At 50.8% G+C, this 22,229-nt stretch overlaps 2 protein-coding genes across 5 annotated transcripts in view, besides 2 other annotated features; both read right to left on the bottom strand.

The window, feature by feature from the left end:
- The window catches only part of JAKMIP1 (janus kinase and microtubule interacting protein 1), a 174,351-nt gene that overhangs the window by 22,810 nt on the left and 129,312 nt on the right, over positions 1-22,229 (bottom strand). For 3 of the 4 annotated variants that reach the window (NM_144720.4, NM_001306134.2, NM_001306133.2), the window contains 5 exons: positions 15,872-16,000; positions 13,304-13,432; positions 11,416-11,499; positions 7,689-7,751; positions 4,747-5,140 (listed from right to left, as the gene is read on the bottom strand). In NM_144720.4, coding sequence (NP_653321.1) covers positions 4,967-5,140; positions 7,689-7,751; positions 11,416-11,499; positions 13,304-13,432; positions 15,872-16,000 — 579 coding nt within the window. In that variant the 3' untranslated portion in view covers positions 4,747-4,966. Of the gene's footprint in view, positions 1-810; positions 865-1,569; positions 1,672-4,746; positions 5,141-7,688; positions 7,752-11,415; positions 11,500-13,303; positions 13,433-15,871; positions 16,001-22,229 lie in introns of those variants that run through there. The other variant, NM_001099433.2, reaches the window with a different exon arrangement.
- Positions 172-1,371: an enhancer, noted in NCBI's record as "BRD4-independent group 4 enhancer chr4:6050907-6052106 (GRCh37/hg19 assembly coordinates)". NCBI's record gives its function as "activates an origin of replication core promoter dependent on BRD2, P300/CBP, MED14 and CDK7 cofactors, and independent of BRD4, by STARR-seq in HCT116 cells {active_cell/tissue: HCT116}" and the evidence as "EXISTENCE:reporter gene assay evidence [ECO:0000049][PMID:35650434]".
- LOC128125818 (uncharacterized) lies at positions 15,969-21,154 on the bottom strand. Its single transcript, NM_001415001.1, has 2 exons — positions 21,049-21,154; positions 15,969-16,000 (listed from the first exon to the last, which is right to left on the bottom strand). Exons 1-2 carry the CDS (start codon positions 21,152-21,154, stop codon positions 15,969-15,971), a joined length of 138 nt encoding a protein of 45 aa, NP_001401930.1.
- Positions 20,995-21,925: an enhancer, noted in NCBI's record as "H3K4me1 hESC enhancer chr4:6071730-6072660 (GRCh37/hg19 assembly coordinates)". NCBI's record gives its function as "activates a minimal SCP1, AML or CMV promoter by ChIP-STARR-seq in primed H9 embryonic stem cells {active_cell/tissue: H9 hESC(primed)}" and the evidence as "EXISTENCE:reporter gene assay evidence [ECO:0000049][PMID:30033119]".

Here is a 22,229-nt window from a genome sequence, read left to right on the forward strand (position 1 = left end):
CGTTGTTGTTGTTTGTTTTATTATGTTTGTTTGTTTTGAGACGGAGTCTCTCTCTGTCACCTGGGTTTGAGTGCAGTGGTGTGATCTCGGCTCACTGTAACCTCTGCCTCCTGGGTTCAAGTGATTCTCTTGCCTCAGCCTCCCGAGTAGCTGGGATTACAGCAGCTGGGATGCACACCACCACACCTGGATAGTTTTTGTATTTTTAGCAGAGACAGGGTTTCGCCATGTTGGCCAGGCTGGTCTCGAACTCCTGACCTCAGGTGATCCGCCAGCCTCAGCCTTCCAAAGTGCTGGGATTACAGGCGTGAGCCACCATGCCCCGCCAACACCAAGCGACTTTCCTAGCTTCTCTCTGAGCTGCACCCGAGGGTCAGCTCCCTCTCGCTAATGGGGCCAGCGCCTCAGGCAGACAGCTCCTGTCCCTCTGGTTGGGGACATTTCACAGAGTGGCACTAAGCTTTTGTGAAACATGGCTACATGCAAGCTCATCTTTCAGGACGGCAAAAAGATCCCTTTCTGATTTCAGCAATCTCGTGTGACTCCACCTGCATTCTGGGTAGGGATTCTGAGGCTTTCCCGTCCCCTCCTCACTCAACAGGCCAGGGGAATCTAACTTCGGAACCCCACTTCTGACGAATGCCAACCCCACCACCCACACAGGAACACGGCCATACAAAAGCCTTACATTGTACTTCTTAGATCTCTTACATCAGAGAGAAATTAAAAACAAAACAAAACAAAAGTCACACAGAATACACCCAGATCAAAACAAGAACACGAAAGCAGAAACCGATCGCTCATAGTTACCCCGTTATCGCCAAGGATATCTAATTTCTTCATAAGTTCAGAAACATTCACATCCTGGAAGAGATTTCCAACGTTCATTTTTGTGTGAGCTACAGAGACCAACCATACCAATTTCTAGGGCCACGGCCTTTCCTCTGGACAAGACACCGCGCTCTTTCTTTTCTTTTCTGGCCAAGTTTTGCGCCCAGCCGTTCCTCTGGGGAGTGAGGGAGAGAAGGCATAACTGCTGCTCATTTGCTGAGTGTTACACCAGCACAAACACTGCTTTCTAGAAAGGCCATGGAAGCGGGTGAGTCAGGACGCTGTCCCTGGAGCTGAGCAGGGCTCTAGGACACGGTAAACCCCGGGCCCTTCTAGCAACCACAGCCACCATCTACAGAACCTTGCTGCATGCCAGGCAGAGGGCCAGGCACTTGGAGTCTGTTCATGATGTGTCATCACCCCAGCTTCACGGTGTGGGTATTGTCATTTGGATTTCATAGCGAAGAGGCTAAGGCTCTGAAAGTTTACAGGCCAGAGCAGTGGTGGAACTGGGGTTCACACTCAGGGCTATACACCAAGCCTCTGCTGTTTTAAACATATGGGTCAAAATAGAGTCACATTTGGTGACCCTTTAATAAATGGACAAACTGTGACTTTCAACACAAGGGGTATCTCATGAAAATCAATTCTATCCCAGCACTCCCCCTTTGCAGCTGAGCCGGGCACTGAGCGAGCCCTTGGCTGGCATTCAGCAGAGGCACCCCCCAGGCACGCTACCTTAACTCCTTCCTGGTGACAGAACAGCTGGAGAGCGCTGCTGTGGTTCTCGGGGAAGGTGGTGATTTGGAGGTTAAATGCTGGCGACCTCCTCTCTCTCTCCTGGGGAAAAGATTCGGTTTAAAAACAGAATGTGACCGGATTATTTACCACTTGCCATTTTCCCACGTTACTCAGCAAAAACCAAGGAATTCCAGTGGGCACAGACGTTACTAAAAAGCACGAGTTCGGACTAGAAGCAGCCTCGTCCGTGAGCTACGACGTTTTCACGCCTTCCCACGCAGCAGTTCTCCATGGAAATGTGTTTACTTCTTCCCTATTCATCTAGGGAGAAATGGTTAACAGGGTACCGTGGCTTTATCCATTGTGAGATCAAAACCCAGGAAATCACAGAATTACAAAATTTAAAAAACACAGTTGCACTAAATTTGAATAGACAGCAAAAGCCACCAACTATGGTTTATTACTCTGTGCCAGGCACACCACTCTCCCGTCTAATCCTCACACTACCCCAGGAGGCAGGCTCATTGCTTTCATTCTGTAGACAAAGAGAAGGTGGTGGCCCAGGGAGGCTGTGTCTGAGGTCCCACGCTAGCAAGCGGCAGGGCCAGGACCCCAAAGGCTGACTTTCTTTCTTTTTCTTTCCTTTTTTTTTTTTTTTTGAGAGGGTGTTCTGTTCTTGTCGCCCAGGCTGGAGTGCAATGGCACAATCTTGGCTCACTGCAACCTCCACCTCCCGGGTTCAAGTGATTCTCCTGCCTCAGCCTCCCAAGTAGCTGGGATTACAGGCACGCGCCACCACACCGGGCTAATTTTGTATTTAGATTTTGTTTCTTTTTTAGTAGAGACGGGGTTTCACCATGTTGGCCAGGCTGGTCTTGAACTCCAGAGACCTCAGGTGATCCACCCGCCTCGGCCTCCCAAAGTGCTGGGATTACAGGCGTAAGCCACCTCGCCCGGCCCCAAAGGCTGACTTTCTGTTCTTTCCAATACAATCTGCCAATACCATTCACAATTGTTTTCTGAGCCACACTAACACAACAAGTGATCATTCTACCCCTGCCTTAGACTTACAGCAAAGCTCAATTAATTACTAAGGGAGGAAGAAGAGCAAGCCTTTTCCCAGAAGAGGTATTTATTAATCATACATAAATGACAAGGTTTTAAAAGGTCGGGAAAACCTAATTACTTACAGGGCTAAAGCACAGTGGCAGAACAGGACTCAGGTCTCAGATGTGTTTCCTGCACAGAATGGACTTTAAACACTTTAGCGATGGACAGATTTGTCATGGTGGGGCAGCAGAGAAGACCTTTTCAAATTACACCTTTAAATCAAACTGCTTTAGTTTGAGCAGAGTTACGGTAAGGTAAAAAATAACATGCTTTGGGCCATTCTAGCAGAATCTAGCTACAGAACCAATGGGCTTCTTGAATAATTCTACTAAGAGATGTAGCCAAGAGAGGCACGAATCTAGATGGCAGGGCTTAAGAAGATGCTCTGGGGTGAGACTGAAGGAAAGAGGGAGGGCTGGGCACTAATTCAATCAATTTCCATGAAGCCCTAACCTGACTAACCTAGGTTTGAAACAGTCTAGTAAGAAAACCTTATTTCCCTTATTAGCCAAAATTTAAAAAAATAAAATAAAAAAAAAACAAGCAAAAAAACAAATTTCATGATGGTTCCATTCCACAGATGACTTTCTACCAGCAAATTTACTTAAATGGCGTCCCCATAGAAAAAGTGGCCCCCAAAACTCAGATTTTATATGAACAAAAGTCATTTTGTAGGCCGGGCATGGTAGCTTATACCTGTAATCCCAGCACTTTGGGAGGCTGAGGCAGGTGGATCCCTTGAGGTCAGGAGTTTGAGACCAGCCTGGCCAACATGGCGAAACCTGTGTCTACTAAAAATACAAAAATTAGCTGGGTGAGGAGGTGTGTGCCTGTGATCCCAGCTACTAGGGAGGTTGAGGCCGGAGAATCACTCACACTCGGGAGGCAGAGGTTGCAGTGAGCCAAGAGTGCACCACGCCACTGTCCTCCAGCCTGGGTGACAGAGCGAGACTCTGTCCTAAAAAAAAAAAAAAAAAAAAAAAAGCCATTTTGTTTCTGGTGGTTCTGAAGGATGGTGGAGACCATTAAAGAAAACTCTAGTAAACTGGGTAGTGCTTATAGAATTCTCATGAGAAAGACTCATAACAAGGATTTGTGAAAGGTTCTCTAACAGCGGCAGGAGTATTAACAATGACCTCACATAACTTCCAATTCTGTCGCACAAATAAAATGCTCATGTCATGCTGAGCCAAGAGCTGAGTCACTCTTGGTGTGAGAAATACTCAGGCCACAGGTCCCTGCCCACACGACAAGGTACACACGGTCAGTTCTAATGCAGACAGAATTGTAACTCAAGCCGGCAGGAGAAAACAAAATTGGGGAAGCCACAGACACTGTGAAGGTGCTCACTTTGAGGGTTTCACGCATGCAAAGGTTTCAGCTGAGAGACAGCAGAGCTGCGCCACTACAGGTGCTTAGAGAAACTCATCACAAACTTAAGTGATGTTTAAAATGCCAATGATTTTTCAACAGAAACAAAAAAAAGGATTATGAAGTACCATGAGAGCAAGGCAATACAGTAACACACCCGAGGTAAGATTTCAGCTGGAAGCAGTAAGACCATTAGTATTCTTTCACTGAATCTCACTCGGTGCATTGGGGCAGTTCCTGAAGGAACAGGATTTCTACATGTGAACAGCAACTGATCTCCCTCCAGTAGTTTTGAGGTGCAGTTTGAGTTGCAAATAGTAATTTCTTTAGTCCAATATTGCTGCAATGCCTGGGTCTGTATTTACTGGATAAAAGAGTTTGAACAACGTAACTAGTTTTCTTAAACGCCTATGCAAATACATCCTTCTACCCTGTCTTTACTTACCTTGTGTTTACCTTGGCAAATAGAAAATGGGCCCAAACTGGCATTAAACACATTCTAGAGTCAATTGCTGGCTCAGGTCAGACTCTGCTATTTCAAAAGGTGAGATTTACTGCATGCAAGATCACTTAAAAAGGTGTGTTATTAATTGCAACAGTGCTTCCGTCTGGGTGTGCAGAATGCGTACCCGGTGACTACGCATGCAGGAAAGAAGTAGTTATGGAAATGAAACACAAATAAAAAAGGCAAAATATTGCAAAAACAAATTATTTTATTAAGTGCAAAACAAGCCATAGGCAATAAATATATTAGCTCTGGTACATGTCCATAGACTTGGGTGAGCACGCTCTCCAGAACACATTAAGGCAGTGAAATTATTCTGAACATACAGATTTAAAAAAAAAAAGAAAGAAAGAAAGAAAGAAACTATAACATGTCCCCTTTACACATGCTTGAAAACATCTGAGAGCTTTACATGAATTTCAGTTTGGGTTCAAAGAGAATGTCTGCTCCGTTTGAGAGTTTACAACAGATAGAGTCTCTTACTTCGAGTTCTAGCACTCTGAATTCTAACAGCTCGTTCTGATCCTTGGCGTCTTGCATTTCATTCTTCAGCTGGTTCTCTTCCATTTCCAGTCTGTAAATCTAGAGCAAAGATACCTGCGGATTAACAGGATGGGTGGGAGCACTGGGGTCCCCTGGTCACAGGCCACCTGACTGAGTGGCTGGAGGGAAACAGACGACTGGCCACGGAGGCAAGGGGCAGGAGAGGGCAGGGTTTGCAGCAAGCAAACGAATGAGGTAGGTGCTGCAGGTCCTTTTTGCTGATGCGGCTGGAAATGAAGGAGACAGAGGCTGGGCCAGGTTCACCCCTGCACCTCCGAGCCTGGCCCAGTGGAGTAGGGGCTACTTACATATTTGCTGAATAAATGAATGATGGGGAGACTGAGGCATGAAGCTATGAAGTCCCTTCCTTGAGGCCAAACACTGGGAAGCAAGAGTGCCACACCCAAAGCCTGTCCAGGTCTTTCCAACTCAAGCCCCACCAGATTCAACCCACCCAGACAGAGGCCCAGCCAGCTGCGGCAGGGAGGGCCCCTCCTGCTTCCCCACAGAGCTTGCAGAAGAAGCCGTAAAGGCAGGAGTTCTCTGAGAGCGCAGATCAGTGTGGGAAGTGACACCGCCTGCATCCCAGACCCAGCTGGGAGACGCTGGATCACTCAGCCCACTACTCCAGCCCTCACCTTCTGTCCAAGAAGGGAAACAGCAGCACCCATCGCCTGGCAGCAGCGAGAAGTCACTAAAATAACGCATGTACACGAGGGCTTTGAGTAAAGCCTCATAGCACCATTACAGAAGGCTAGAGGGGGGCCCTCTGCCAGGTGATCCCACCCCCGGGAGACCTTTAGAAATGGGATGAGGGGGTGAGGGTTTTCTGCGGCTCCCTGGATTTAGTGAACAAGACACCAAAGATGCTAAAATTCTCCCGAGGCCTGGGGTTGCTCGCTGTCCCAAATGCCCTTGTCCCAAATGCCCTTGAGAAATGCAGGGAAGGGAATGGGGCCACATGCTGGTTAGCAGCAGATTGGGGGCTGGGCCAAGGACCCCCACCAGGGCCAGGCCAGGTTCCTCCAGTCCTGGTGCCCCAGGATGCTTAAAAGCTGAGGCCTAACCTAGGGTCTGGCTGCACTTACTTGCAACATCCAGAGACAGTGGACTGGAGGCTGCCAGGGGCCGGGAGGCAGGGCAGAGGGGGGACTGCACATGGGCAGGAGGGGTCTTTATCAGGCTGATCATGTTCCAAAACTGCATTGCGGTGATGGTTGTGCAACACAGTAGATTTACAAAAAGAATAAGTGAATTGTACACCAATAAGGAAAAAATAAGCTACGATTTTAATTCCAAAGCATTAGAGCTACTCGCCAAGCAGACTCTCCGAGAGCTCTGGAAAGTTCCACAACCAGAAAGAGAAGAACAGAGGCCCAGTTCCCATTATGGGTCAGCTGCACTGGGCTGAGATGGCCTGAGGATCTGCCCATGGACCTGCCTCAGGCGCCCACCACACTGGTGGTTGAAGGGCTCTGGACCATAAAGCCACAGCAGAGGCGGCCTGGAGCCCAGTGTCAGGAAGATGGACCAGCCCAACAATAGGCCAGCCCTCCCCATTTCTTCAGTTGTCCCCAGAGGTCAGGGACAGCCCTCCCCATTTCTGCAGGTGTCCCCAGAGGTCGGGCCAGCCCTCCCCATTTCTGCAGGGTATCCCCAAAGGACAGGGCAGCTCTCCCAATTTCTGCAGTGTGTCCCCAGAGGACAGGCCAGCCCTCCCCATCTCTGCAGGGTATCCCCAGAGGTCGGGGCAGCCCTCCTTATTTCTGCAGAGTGTCCCCAGAGGACAGGGCTGCCCTCCCCATTTCTGCAGAGTGTCCCCAGAGGTCGGGGCAGCTCTCCCAATTTCTGCAGTGTGTCCCCAGAGGACAGGCCAGCCCTCCCCATCTCTGCAGGGTATCCCCAGAGGTCGGGGCAGCCCTCCTCATTTCTGCAGGGTGTCCCCAGAGGACAGGGCTGCCCTCCCCATTTCTGCAGAGTGTCCCTAGAGGTCGGGGCAGCCCTCCCCATTTCTGCAGGGTGTCCTTAGAGAACAAGGAAGCTCTCCCCATCTCTGCAGGGTGTCTGCAGAGGTTGGGACCTGTCCTCCCCATTTCTCCAGGGTGTCCCCAGAGGAGAGAACCTGCCCTCCCCATTTCTGCAGGGTGTCCCCAGAGGACATGGCCAGCCCTCCCCATTTCTGCAGGGGTCCCAGAGGTTGGGGCAGCCCTCCCCATTTCTGCAGGTGTCCCCAGAGGACAGGGCAGCTCTCCCTATTTCTGCAGGGTATCCCCAGAGGTTGGGGCCAGCCCTCCCCATTTCTGCAGAGTGGCCTGGGAAGACAGGCCAGGCCTCTCCATTTCTGTGGAGTACCCAAGGAGGATGACCTAAACCAGCTCTGCAGACCTGGTCCCAGAGGATAGAACCACAGATGTGGCTTTGATTCCATGTGAGGAAGACATCTCTCCTCATGGGAGGTGTGCAGGACCCGAGGCCCTGGTCACTGGAGTGCCCAAATGGCGCTGGGCACGACCCGTGTAGTCTGAGCAGGCCCGCGGGGTCCCAACTGCCCTGCGGCTGTGTGCTTCCCTGAGGTGGGGTCACGCACCTTTTCCAGCAAGTCTTGGTTTGTTCTGATGAGCAGCTGCTTCTCTTCAACCCACTTGGAATCCTAAGGAAAAGTACTAAATATGGTCACATTCATGGAAGCAAACAGATGGTCAAGTAACAAACTTTTAGTGAGAAAGGTCACTTTCTATGAAACTGACCATGGAAAGGTCATAAAAAATGACAGCCGTGATGTGCCCTCATTGTCCCTGTCCACTTTTAAACCCCAAAAAGAGAAACGGCTGGTTTGTGGGGCATCCCTTCTCCACTTCGTTCACATTCCCAAAAGCACAATGACTCCATTCTGTCCGTCTAATTAACAGAAACATGCCTCCAGGGTGACTGGTCCACACTGGCAGACCCTCCACGCATGCGGAAGGCTGACCTCATACCCCGCAGACTGGCCAGAGCCACACTGACATGCTTTTGTTCATTCCACTCTCTCTGCCTGCGATGCCCTTCCCACGTTTCTTTGCCTGGTCGTATCCTCTTGCATAAGTCCTGTGAGCACACGGCACCAAGTCCGTCTTGTCGCTGTGGCACCCTGAGCCTGGCACAGTGCCTGTCACATGGGGACAGGGGGACTCTGTGAATCCCGGAATGGATGGATGAAGGAATAAGTAAACGCATGGGAAGCCCTCTCCAACTCCCTCCTCCCTTCTCTGCTGGTCAGCCACAGAGCTGGGGCTGGGCTGAGGCCCCTCCCAAGCACCAGGCTGGGCCGGGCTCACTGAGTCTTGTTGTTCTAGGATGCTGAGAAGCAGAGGCCCGGCCTAGGGTCTGGTCCCAAGCACATGGAATGCACAGAAGAGGCCCTGGTTGCCTCCAGGCTTCTGTCTCCCTGGCACCTGGCACCTGCATCATCCTCATGCTGATCCATGTGTGGGCCTCACCAGGCTGCGAGCACCTGTGAGGAGTGGCTGTGCTCCACCCACCTTTTGTCTGTGGCATATTGTGGCCAAAAATGGCTGCAACACTCCCTCCCACCTCTGTGTGCACCCCCTCTGCCATGTGACTTGGCAGCTCCTCCCAGCAGGTGATGGGGTCCATTTCTTCAACCTCAAAGCTGGGCTGGGCCATGCCATGCTCTGGCTACTGGGATGTTAGCAGAGGTGACCTGAGCAGAGGTTTGGACCATCCTTGGGCCTTGGGCTTGCCCCCAAACCATGGGGAAAGAAGCCAGGTGGGCCTCCCTGAGGTGGAGGCACCTGGCCGGGAGCTGGCAGTCTGTGCCCAGCCTGAGCCCAGCCCAAACTGCTGATCCACAGAACTGTGTGCAAATAGAACCCCTGCTGTTCTAAATAACTAAGTATTGGGGTGGTTTGTTACTCAGCAACAGCAAACTGATTCAGCGTCCCAGGTACCAGCACTGGGCCTGGGATAGGTGAGAGTTCTGGGAAGTGCTTGCTGGATGAATGGACACAGGCTCAGCCTCAGACAGGTGCCATCCTCCAGCAGGCATGGAGGGCAGAGCAGGCCACACAGAGAGGACCTACCCCCCTGGGGGAGGCTAAGTGTGGCAAGTAGAAAAGTTCCTCTTCAAAGTTTCCCTTCTTATGAAAGAATAAATCATAAGTGTTAAAAATAATAGTTTCTTTTTAAAAACTAACTTCCTTCAAGCCTCCTTGCCTTTATACTAACAACTCTTTGTTAAGCCCCTCCTATGTAGCTGTTAGATATAAGGGAATAAGTACATTCTATGTCTTTGTACTTTAACCAAGATATTTGTTATAGACTTGCTCAAGCATGTCCCAGCTCGCAGCTTATGTCCCTTCCTTATTTGGAAATGTTATTACTTCTCTAAGTCTTTTCGAAAGCAACTTCCTCTTTCCCTTTGTTCTCTATTACCTTTACCTATCTAGAAAAGTTTTAAGTTATTAGTCAATTGGGTCTAGCTTAGACTGGGAGGTCCAGTTCCAGCCAATGGAGACAGGACACAGCAGTAAGGAACCAATGCATAAGGAATAAATATCCCTGCTTTTCTTTGCTCAATGTGCTCTCGTGGCAGGACTGCTGACAGGCAGCACCCTTTCTGCAGAAAGGAAAATTGCCTTGCTGAGAAAACTTTTTGTCTGAATGCTAATTTTTCCTTGCAGTGCCAAGGAATAAGCATTTACTTACAACACTAAGTTAGTTATAGACTGTGATCAGGCAAGTTACAGATATGTGGGCTCAGCCTGGAAGAGGGAAACTGAGGCTAGCAGCCTCAAAAAACAAAAAAGCCTTATCATCTCGCACCTGGATTTCTGCCCCAGCTACTCCTGGGTTCTCCTCTGTCCTCCTGCTTAATGTGTTAGGTATTATTATTAGCCCCATTTTAAAGATGAGGAAACGGAGGCACAAAGAGATTATGTTACTTGCCCAAGGTTATGCAACAAGGAAGTGGCAGAGCTGCCCTCTGACCCAGGTGGCCAGCTATAGCATGTGAGCTCTGCGTCACGATCCCACCGCATGGAGGATGCAGACCACAGTTTAGAGAAGCCATTCCAGAGGGCTGGGCACTCACATTCCCCCACGCAGTCCATTGGTAAAGTCTGCTGTGGTGACCTGCTCTGTGCCAGGCATGCATGCTGGTCGCTGGCCGTCCGCCTCCATGGGAACCTCAGTCTCAACCCCGAGCCCTGCGGCAGCCATTCTGAGCTGCCAGCTTTGCAGCTTTGCAGCTTTGCAGTGCTCTTCTGGAGCTGCTTCTGTTAAGCCGCCTGGAACCTCTTACACCCCTTGCTTCACACCCGCCTCCTCCCACTGTATCCCACCAGGCCTAGGAACTGTGGTAGACCTTGCCTGGCCTCCTCAGCCCCCCATAGATGCCTCTCTGCAGGCAGGGGTGGGGGCCACCAGACACTCCGTCTGCCCACACCCTCCTTGGCACCCTCACTGTTAGTGGGGCCACGTGACTGATGAATTTTGCTGAGGCAGCAAACAGCCAAGCAGAGGAAAAGTTCGAGATGGGGCAGTTCCAAGATGGTGGTGCCCCCCTCCCTGAATCCCTGAGAGGCCCTTGGGAGAAACAGGAGTGTGAACAGAATACACCTTGTCACATGGAGCCAGGGAGACGTTCAGGTTATGTCACCACAGCAGCACTTCTGACACAGAGGAGGCCGACCCATACGAACCTTCGCATGCCACCCCGAGAGGCCAGATTTCCACCCAGAGCCCTCTCTGGCTCCCCCACTCCAGGGGACAGGTCTAGGCCCAGGCATTGCTTTTCTGCTGTGTCTCACTGTCAACCAGCCTTGCCTAATCAAATGCAGTGGATGGGTAGGTGCAGTTGACTCTAACCTGAGCAGCACAGGACCAGACTGTTCTAAGACACAGAGGCCAGAGGTGGGGCCTCTGCAATAACCCAGGGTTAGTCATGGGTGCTGGTTCATTTTCACAATTAAAATCTTGATAGAAAATGACAGCTCTTCTTCAGGTTCAAGTCAAAAACAGCTTTGATCACACCTTTGCTTTTGGAATTACCTCTTTTTTGTGCATTTGGCAAACAAACAAAGAAAAAGCCAAGTTAGAATGCCATACCTTGTTTTGATTTTTTAACTCGGCACACAGGTACAGTAGGGAGCACATTCGTGCCTGGGTTCTGCTAGTGTTTTTTCCTCTAGCGTCTCTGGAGCTCCTGATCCAGCCCCACAGAATGTCCCCCTTGGCACAAGGGCGAGCCCCAGGGATACCACCAAGGGGACAGAAAGGCTAAGATTCACAGAGCACAGATCACTCCTGCTCACCTGTCCCTTCTCAACCAGTAACTTCTCCAAATCTTCGATTTTGGCCTGACACCTCAGCAGATCAGCTTGTAGCTGCTCCCGAGTCTGGAAGGGAAAAGACCAGGCAGTGAGCAGGTCACCTCCAATGGGTGACAGGGAAGCGGAAAGCGTCATGCCCCAATGCAAGCAATGCCTAGGGTCCTTATAGGCAAACCTTAGGAACAGGTTCACTTTTAGGAGCACGTATTCAACCTTGGCCTACTAGAAGCATGGCTCAGCTTCAAACACAAAAATCATTAAGAAGAGAACAGCCTTGTTTGGTTTTACAAACCAAAACTTGCTTGGCTTTACAGGCAAGGAAAATGAAGCCTGGAGAAGGGACCCTGTTTTTGAAGGGGGTGAGTGAGCCAGAAGCCAGCCACACTGGGGGCCCAGGCCCAGCTCTCTGACCAAGTCCAATCCTTACTGAACCTGAAGCTCATTCAGCCATCATCAGACTTCAACACGCTGGCACAATTGCATAGCCCCTGGCCCAGGCCCCTTATCACCTGCAGCAGGAGCTGCAAAGCAAAATACTTCAAGCACCAAGAAAGTCATATAAATAAGGGAAGTCAACTGGGTGTGGGGTAACAGGGAGTGGTGGGGACTGTGGCAAGCCAGAGGCACACGTCCCATCTCAGGGAGACACTGCTACCCAGCAGCAGCCACAAGAAATGGGACGCCTGTTGCTGCCAGATGTTCTGACCTTTCAAGAGAGGTCAGGAACCTGGATTTCTCTATAGAATCTCTTGATTTTTAAATGTTGGCAAGTAGATGAAATTTAAAAAGCGAAACAAAAATTATTCAGCCCACACAAAGCCTCACAGTTTCCCTCCTCTGACCTAGATGACAAAGACTGGGCCTTTTATGGTGGGACAAGCAGCTTCCCTCCCTGCTGACCTCACTCCCCCTTACTCCTGGCTCCCCGCTACAGGGCCACTGCTGCCCCTGGAACAAACTCCACGTGGGCGTGGCCTCTCCTCTCTGCCTTTGCCATCAGATTTGCCAGGCAATGCCCCATTCTGGCCCATCGCCTTTAAGACTACCAAAATCCATCCATTTGTGGAATTCCCAAACAGGGCTCTGAGAAAGAGCACAGGCCCTGAGTCCGAGAAACCTGGCCTCGACTCCCAGCTCTGTTCAGCATCATCTGGGTATTTGGGGGCAAGTTGCTCAGTTCTGAGCCTGTTTCCTCATTCGGAAGATCGGGTTAATTCCTCCTGCTTCAGGGGGCCAGTGTGGGGGTGAGATGGGGGAGGGGATGCAGGGAAGCACCCGTGTGTGCTCTCCGGGAGTCCTCCACACTCCCAGGAGGAAGCGAGAGCAGGCCCCAGTCTATGTGACTCCCGAAGGTGGGAGAAGGGCCAGTGGATGGAAGTTTCCAGAAGGCAGAGCTCAGCCTAGCCTGAGGAATGGCGTGGCCTGGACTGAGGTGGTCACAGGGCCCAGAGTGCCTTGGTGGCTGGGGAGCACCCTGAGAGTCCCTGCAAGTGTTCTGGTGGATGTCCTGGAGGGCGGGGGGCTGGCAGCCCTGGAGGGAGCGGAGCCTGAAGCCTGCAAGCCAGCCAAGTCTGTGATTTCATCACTTAGTGTTAAATTCTGAACACATGCTCTCCTCCAAACAGACGGCACAGGTGATATGTAGCGTTGCTTCCTCTAACAGCTCAATGTTCCAGAGCGCCTGCCATCACACCGAGGATGCAGAGAGGGATCTAGAATGTCACCACAGCAGAGACCTTGCTATGGGTTCCCCACCACCTCTCAGAATCCCCTCTGAGTGTCCAAGCCAGGGTATGTCACACTTCTGGAAAGGACCTACATGACCTGGCCTTCGGCCCCTCCCTCGAGCCCTGAGGCTGGCTGCACTCACCCGGGCCTCCCTCTCAGCGTCCAGCGTGCCTCCCACCTGCTCCTGGAGCAGGGCGTAGGCGCGTTGCAGGGCCTGGTACTCCCGGGTCAGCTGGCAGAAGCGCAGGTCAGCCTCCTCTCGGGCTGTGGCCTTCACATAATGGAGAAGAAAACAAATAATCAAGTGCAAAATTACAATAATAAATGATTTATGATTGATTTTAATAATAAACATAAATAAACACTTGCTATGGCTTTGAGTGCCAGGGTCAACTTAGACATCAAACGACCACATCTCACAGTGCTGCCAACAGGTGCTTAAGGAGCCTCGCATTGCCAGGAAGCAACTAGGGCATTGGAGGAAAGGGCTGCCAGGAGGAGGCACCTCCTCAGCCATCAGCACTCCTCCCAGGAGCTCCCACCCACAGGAATCACTTGAGTTATGTGGGAGCAGGTGGGAGAGAAAGGGCTGGTACCATGGAACCAGCCCCAACTCCAGAAGCAAAGGTCTCCATTGTAAAGGGTGTCCCCTCCCACTGAGCACCTCCCATTCTGGGAATTTATCCTAAAGAGATGGCCGGGCATGGTGGCTCACGCCTGTAATCCCAGCACTTTGGGAGGCTGAGGCAGATCACCTGAGGTCAGGAGTTTGAGACTAGCCTGGCCAACATGGCAAAACTCCATCTCTACTAAAATACAAAAATTAGCTGGTTATGGTGGTGGGCACCTGTAATTCCAGCTACTCGGGAGGCTGAGGCAGGAGAATTCCTTGAGCCTGGGAGGTGGAGGTTGCAGTAAGCCGAGATCATGCCACCGCACTCTAGCCTGGGCGACAGAGCTAGACTCCGTCTCCAAAAAAAAAAAAATGGCCACATAAGTGTGTAAAGACACAAATACGAAGGAGCTCCATGCATGGTTCACAGGTGTGGAAAACGACACAGCATAAATCCCTCATCAGTGCGTGCTGCTCATCCATGGGAAAGCCCCACATGGCCATGAGAGAGGATGAGGCAATCCCATGTTCTGGTGCTGAAAGATGCCTATTACATATCACTGGCTGGGAAAAAGCAAACTGAAAATCACGCATCCTGTTTTAAGTTAAACATAAAAGGCCCATGGCTGAGAACAAGACCCTAAAGCCTGAGTAGCCTAGTCCAGACCCCTGTGCAGGACAGGCTGATGGACTGTTGTGTGCCTCCAGCACTGGCCTGGCCCCTCCCTCCAGCCGGCACTTGGGCTGAGGCTGGTGGGCTGACGGGGAGGATGGTGTGTCTCTCCCAGTGTGAGAAAGGATGTCCAGGGGACGACCTGCAGAGGTGACATGTGTCCCCTAGAGTTTTGGCACAAGATGGAAGAGCAAAGAGAGGGCCACCTTGGGGTTGAATGTGCCAGCGCCTATAGCATGTGCCACATTTTCCTATGGCAAATAGACCCATGGGAGGAAACCAGCCTAGAAGTCATTCCAGATGGGACTCCACAGAAAATGCCACCAGGAGGGGACAAGGACAACAAGCAGGGGTGTGTGGGAGGCGGACCATTCAGAGACTCGGGATGTGGGGGCGCAAGGAGCTGCAGTGCCCAGTCCCTCACCAGGAAGCTGTGGGGTGCAGCACAGCAAGGGGAGCTTGTGGAGACCTGGAGAAGTGCTCCCTCGCGAGGTAGCGCGATCCACCTGCCCCTGCCGGAGGGCACTGCCCTGAGGGCCAGCTGCCCCGGCATATCCGCACCCCCTTCCCACTCTTGCTCTTCCCTGGGCTCAGAAAAAGCCACCAGGGGCCTGCATGGGAAGAGGCAGAAGAGCAAGGTAGGGAAACAGCAGCCAAGCCTGACGCAGGCCCTGGTGGGGAGCAAGGGGAAGGTCTGCGCTGAATGAAGTCTGCTGTTTAGGAAATTAATCAAATGTGATTATTCCCATCACTGGAAGGCATAGAAGCCCACAAGGTCTGCCTGAGATGTAATCAGCACTCCTGAAAGAATTCACCTGGGGAAGGTGAGTGAGAACGAAGCTGGTCTTTGCCCCCTCACGAATCCACCTTGCTCAAGAAGCTGGCTATGCACCCAGATGGGCACAGGTGGTCAGGACAGGGTGAGGCGGTGACCTTGGGGTGATGGGACTTCAGGGCTCTTCACCTTCTTCTTTATATATTTTTGGATTACATGCTTTATCTTAGTCAAGAAAGCAATGATGCTGTTTCTGCCCGGTGGTGTGTCCGTGTGTGCACACATGCGTGGGGACCAGGGAGAGACCATTACGCAGCAGTTTTAATTGCAAATGGTGAGGAAACCCAAGGCAACATCCCTCAATGACTCAGCTTGAACTTGGCAGCCACAGATTTCCTTGGTGGGGAAATCAGTGCTGGGGAAAGAAAGGGTCCCCACGTGCTGCCCTCCCATCGCCATTCATGGAGCCCACAGCTGTGGGGCCCGCCTTCCCTTCACACCATTGGCTTTGATAATGCACTGGTAGGAACTGGTCATCTGGGGTTCAGAACTATAGGCAAGGGAGCGAAACTTGCAACTATCAAAAGCAGGAGGTGCCGCCCCGAGAGCATCTGGGGTGAGGTCCCGCCCTCTCTGCAGGTTTGCTTACATCGTCCAAGTCTTCTTCGGGCGTGGCTGGGGTCCTGTCTGTCCTGTCTGTGTTGTAGGATGTTTCGGACAACGTTTCTGAGTCCACAGACTCCTCATCAAATCCAAAAAATGTCTCCACAACATGCTTCTGTAAAACGCAATTTGTATGATGTTAGCAACGACTGAGGATTGCCAGAGTCTACCAGTCCCTGGTCGTGGGCATGCCAGTGCAGGGGGGTGATGATTGACATTTGGGCCACTGGGGCATCACAAGATGCGGTTGGTGGGCTTCGTAACTGACTGGGTGGGATAAAAGGTGGCAGCAGGTGGCGGATGACCCTAGGGTTTACAGCCTGAGCGAGCTAGTCTGGCCCTGGTCCTGGCTCTGGCTCTCCAGCTGTAGACCTGTGCAAACCACTTGGCCCCTGGAGCACCAGCCTCCTTCTCTAGCAAATGGATTGAGAAGCCACCTCACCTGTGAGCACAAAAGGGGGCCATGCATGCCCTGTGCCCAGAAAGCAGCCCAGCACTCCGTCACGCTCCATGAGCAGCGCACTGGCTGTACCAAGGAGAAGGGGGACAGGGTCCAGGGAGATGCTCAGTTCTAAGGAGAAGAACTGGATGAATAAGGACAGCAGAGGGGGCAACAGCTTGAAGGAGTGGAGAGCCCAGCCATAGTCCTAGTACTCTGACTAGTGTGGCAAATGTGTGGCCCAAGTCCTGGCCAGACCCACACTTAGAGGCAATCTCTGCTTAACTTTTTATTATAGAAAACTGGGAAGATTCACAGAATGAGAAGGAATCATGTAATAGACCTTCACACGACCATCACTCAGATCCAGAGGCAAATTGTAAGGCTCTATGTGACGGCCTCTGAGTTGCCCTGCTGGCACTTCTCCCACTCCAAATATCATAGGATATGGGGCTTCATTCATCTGTCTATCAATTCATTCACTCAGAAAACACTGGCAAAGCTCCTTCTATGGGCCAGACACGGGGCAGGCCTGGGGAATACAATAGGATCATAACCAGGCCAGGTCCCTGCCCCAAGGAGCTTGCATCCCCTAGGGGCTACAGACCTCAACCCACAATCACCAGATCAATGTCTCTTATTTTAGGAACATAGCTTTTTTGGGTTTTTTTTTCCCAAACAGCCCCCGACAAGGATTTTTATTTGTTTTTACAATCAATGAATGCCTTTCAGACCATGAAGAATGAATCAAAACTGAATTCCAGAGCCCAGCCCAAGGCTCTGCTGGCTCATCCAAAACATGACTTCACCCAGAGCTCCCCCAACCCACAGAGAAAACCCAGGCACTCCCCACATACTAAGGGCCCCTCCCAGCCTGAGTGTTTTACCCAGATATCTGTAAATGTGAGAAAAATGTGACTGGCACCAGAGTTAATAATGTGATTAGGAAATAATTCAGACATAAGGCAAGGAAGAAGATGCAGGGACACCCTTGTCACCTTACACAGTTTCTGAAGGTGCTGCAAGGGAGGCACCCACCACCACACGTCACCCAGAACGTTCTTGCATTTGGCACCTGTCTTTCTGCTCACTGCATCACCCCTCCCACATTCCTCCTTGCTTTTTAATATGCATGGGGAATACGACTCTCCCCCGAACTCCAGACTCATACGTCAGCTGCGTCCTTTATGGCATTGTGGAATCCTAGCGGGCAGTGACTTACCCCCAACACCGCACCTCCCGCAATCTAACCTGAGTCCAGCAGCAGCAGCTCATGCTTCAGTTGCCCAGGCCCCAATCCCAGGAGTCCTCCCCTGTCTTCTCCACCTCTCATGCCTGCCCTCCCTGGGAGAAACCCTGTTGTCTTCACCTTCAACTCAAAATCCAGCCCTCTCTCCCCCTCTCTCCATTGGGACCTTCATCTTGGTCCCAGCCACCAATATCTCTCTCTCTGGAATTATTAAAACCACCAACATCCAGGCAGGCTACAAGTGGTCTGCGAGGCCCTACAGGATCCACCTCCCATCCTGCCCTGGCATCATCCCTCCCTCTCCTCCTCCGCTCCAGGCTTCTGCACCCCACACACACCTGCCATGGGGCCTTTGCGCTCCGAGACGCTCTTCCCCAGAATCCACATGTCTCCTTCCCTAGATTCCCTTAGGTCTCTGCACAAATGCAACCATATGAGAAAAGGCTTCCTGGCCACCATGCCCAGGTCCCTCCTGCTTCACCCCCGCCCCAGCCTCTGGGGCCTCCTTCTTTATTCCTTTCCATAGCACATCTCCCCGCTGACGTAAGATCTGGCAAGCTATTGTGTTTACTGATGGTCTTCCCCCTACCCCTTGAAATGGAAGCTCCATGAAGACAGGGGGTTGGCCCTTTTGTTCTCGACTGTATCCCAGTGTTAATGAACTCAAAGCCACACTAGTTTGTCTATCCACAAACAGATTTTGTTTTGCACATGACACCATTTCCATTCATTCACACAGCTGGCATCAGTTGGGCACCATGTGGTTACATGCCCCAGATGAGTCTCATTGGCAGGTACGTGAAGACTATGGGCACCATCAACTTCAATGTCATTTCTCTCCTTGCAGAGGCTGGAGACAATCATCTACTCAAATCTCCCCTCTGGATGAGAACCCCACCCGACTTCAGGCATCATGGACTCTTCCAACCAGCTCTAGAGAGCAGTGGTAGTGACATCCCATGGTGACAATGGCACCCACGGGAGTGATGCATCTGCAGCACTCAAGCTCTTCTGCACACACAGGTCACCCCCCTGAGCTCCAGGTTCACTCAAGCTCTTCTGCACACACACACACAGGTCACCCCCTGAGCTCCAGGTTCACTCAAGCTCTTCTGCACACACAGGTCACCCCCCTGAGCTCCACGTTCACTCAAGCTCTTCTGCACACGCAGGTCACCCCCCTGAGCTCCACGTTCACTCAAGCTCTTCTGCACACGCAGGTCACCCCCCTGAGCTCCACGTTCACTCAAGCTCTTCTGCACACGCAGGTCACCCCCCTGAGCTCCACGTTCCACATTTTTCTGAACAGCCACTGAGCTGACCTTATTTCTTGTAAACACTGCTAACTGCAAGGCCTTTGGGGACGAGTCTGTTTGTTGCTGTAGCCCAGGAAGCATCATCAAGTTACACACTTTCCAAACATTTAGAACACACTGCTGGGCTGTGACCATCCACGTCAGCATCAGGGACCCTCCTGGGGGCAACGACTCAATGCTCAATTACCTAGGACGATCCACTGTGAAGGCTCTGCAGGACTACCAGTTAAAGACTCAACTCTCAAGCCCTAATACAGGGCATTAACTACCAATGCTGCCGAAAACCCTACAGGACTGCTAGTTAAGGACTCAACTCCCAAGCCCTAATACAGGGCATTAACTACCGATGTTGCCGCCTGTGTTTAAAGTAGAGCAACCTTAGCAAACAGCCTAACTCCAGACCCAGTGGAGCCCCCGACAGTATCATATCATATGGCCCCAGAGACCAAGACTCCACAGAACTATGCTGCTTTGAGGGAAAGAGGAAGCAGCTCTTAGAGCAGAAACCAAACACAAAAGGGCAGTCCAATTTGAATCCTGCAGCAATGCAGAGGAATCCACAGCCAGGCACGGCACACACAGAGTTCCCATAGCAGCAACGAGTTGTCTGGGACCCAACCCCTCAGGTTTTTATGCTGGGTATTTTTAAAAATTTTTTAACTTTTTTTTTTTTTTTTTGAGACAGAATCTCCTTCTGTCGCCCAGGCTGGAGAGCAGTAGTGCAATCTCAACTTACTACAACTTCCGTCTCCCAAGTTCAAGCGATTCTTCTGCTTCAGCCTCCCAAGTAGCTGGGATTACAGGTGCGTGCCACCACATCTGGCTAATTTTTGTACATATATATTTTTCTTAAGTAGTGACAAGGTTTCACCATGTTAGCCAGGCTGGTGTCAAACTCTTGACCTCAAGTGATCCGTCTACCTCGACCTCCCAAAGTGATGGGATCACAGGTGTGAGCCATCATGCCCAGCCTTAACATTTTTTTATAACATTTTATAACACTGGGTTAGTGTTTATAACATTTTATAACACTGGGTTAGTTTGTTTCCTTTAGAGAAAAGTTGTGTTGAGTGATTATATTATGCAGTAAGCCTACATGTACTCGATTTCTCAATATATTTGTGTCTTTATTAATAAAAAATAGAAACAATATATTAATGTTTAAAGTAAAAACACAGTGGCTATCTTCCTTGAAGGCAATGCAACTGGTTTTGCACTGCATTTTCAAAAAATGCAGGAAATAATTCACCACCTGCTTCTCAAGAGATGAGGGGAGAACCGCCCAGAAAACATTGTTTCCTGTCATGACTGGCACACAGTGGGCTTTAAAAAAAATGGCAAACATGAAAGAAACTTCATTTTTTTGTGTCTCCACTCTTCTAAGAGTCTCTAGGTTTTTCCTCACAAGAGATACATTAGGAGCAAAAATGTCCACCATTTGCTCATTCTGAGCCCATCTACTGAATAAAAAGGTAATTCCTCTAGCCTTCCATGTTCCTTGCAACCAAAGCCTCTCCTTGTTGACTCGTTTCTACAGATGAATCCAGATTCAGATTAAGATTCAGTTTTGGCCGGGCACAGTGGCTCATGCCTGTAATCCCAGCACTTTGGGAGGCTGAGGCAGAAAGATCGCTTGAGCCCAGGAGTTCAAGATCAACCTGGGCCACATAGTGAGAATCCATCTCTACAAAAAGTTATTTAAAAAGTTAGCCGAGTATGGTGGCTGACGCCTGTAGTCCCAGCTACTTGGGAGGCTGAGGTGGAAAGATTACTTGAGCCTGGGAGGTTGGGGCTGCAGTGAGCTGTGATTGTGCCTCTGCACTCCAGCCTGGGTGACAGGGCAAGATCCTGTCTCAAAAAAAAAAAAAAAAAGATTCAGTTTTGGCAAAATGAATGAAGAGTAAACATGTCTCCTCCATTTACACTTTGCATATACAGAGGTGCTCTTCCTCAGCGGGTCAGATGAAGCAGAGGGAAAAAGAGGAGGTACCCCCAAAACAAATAGCCCCCCAACCAGATCCAGTCTCTCTCAGCCACCTGTCTTCTCACCTTCCTATCATTTTCAACAGAGCCACCTGTCACAGGCAGGAGCATCGGTCGGCCACAGCCAGGGACCGCCAGAGAACCTCAAAACGCAAAACCCCGAACCAGCTGCCTACCTTCATGCTTATAGGTCATCTCCTGGCAGCCAGAGAAGTACAGGCACACCAGGGCACAGAGACACAGGAAGAAAGAGAAGTACAGCACAAAGAGGACATATTCCATGGTGGCGTGAAGCTGCAGACACACCAGCCCCTGTGCGTGGGCTTAGGCAAAAGCCACCTCGTCGGCATCCATTTTCAGGGCTTCCTCCAGTCCAAGGAAAAAGCACCAATTCTCTCCCCACGCACTCCCCTTTCCTCTAACACACCCGCCCTAGCAACTCCACGGCTTCCTGTGGACCCGTCTGCTGCAGAGTCCCAAGAACAGGAGTGCGCCAGAAGACGCACCTTCAGTAAAAGGGAAGCCAGCTCCAGGGCAGAGCCCAGATGCTGGCCACGCCAACCGCGGGCTGAAGGGAGAGGTTTCCAGGGGCGGGATAGGGTGCCTTCGTCACAGAGGACAGCCTCCGAACCAGTTTATTCTCTGGGGACCTTCCTCCCAGATCCCGTCCTCCCTGAGCCGAGAGCCTGTTGTCAACACCATGGCACAGGCCCTGGGTCCCCAGACAATCGCAAGGCCCCCGGGGCAGCACTAGCAATGGCAACGCCACGATAGATTCTCCCTCAGGACCCAAACCGAGGAGCTGCCTCTGTCCTCATGTGTTTGGGAAATTTATCTGCTGTTCCCCGACAACCTCATAGGCACCCTAGACTTGCCAAATTCACTGGCTTCTCTACCATCAATTTGTCAGCGTTTTACCATTTTTATAGGCCAAAACAAACCATTATTTAATAGAAAAACTGATTTTTTTAACTAGATCAAAGTCTTCAGATTCACCTGCCCAGAAGGGATGTCTCTGAGAGTCTTCCATCTCTCGGAGAAGCGTCACCAGACATAATATCAAAAGCAAAAACTCTCATGCTGCAGAAAAAATGGACAGACTTTACCACAAAAAAGTAAAACGTCTGAACTTTGACAGATACCAAAGCAATATTAAAGGGCAATGGATAATTCATAAAAGAAATGTACATAGCAAAGTTCATGTATGTTTCAACTTCAACAATGCATGATGCTGTATTCCTTTGGAAGTTTCCATCAGATGAACTGTGTGACTGGATTGTGCTACTCAATTTAGTGCCGACTACCCTTTAAGCCATGTTTCCTAATGAGGCACCACCCGGCCAGGTAGTGCAGACCT

This window comes from Homo sapiens, chromosome 4, assembly GCF_000001405.40.
Source record: "Homo sapiens chromosome 4, GRCh38.p14 Primary Assembly".
Classification (NCBI taxonomy): Eukaryota; Metazoa; Chordata; class Mammalia; order Primates; family Hominidae; genus Homo; species Homo sapiens.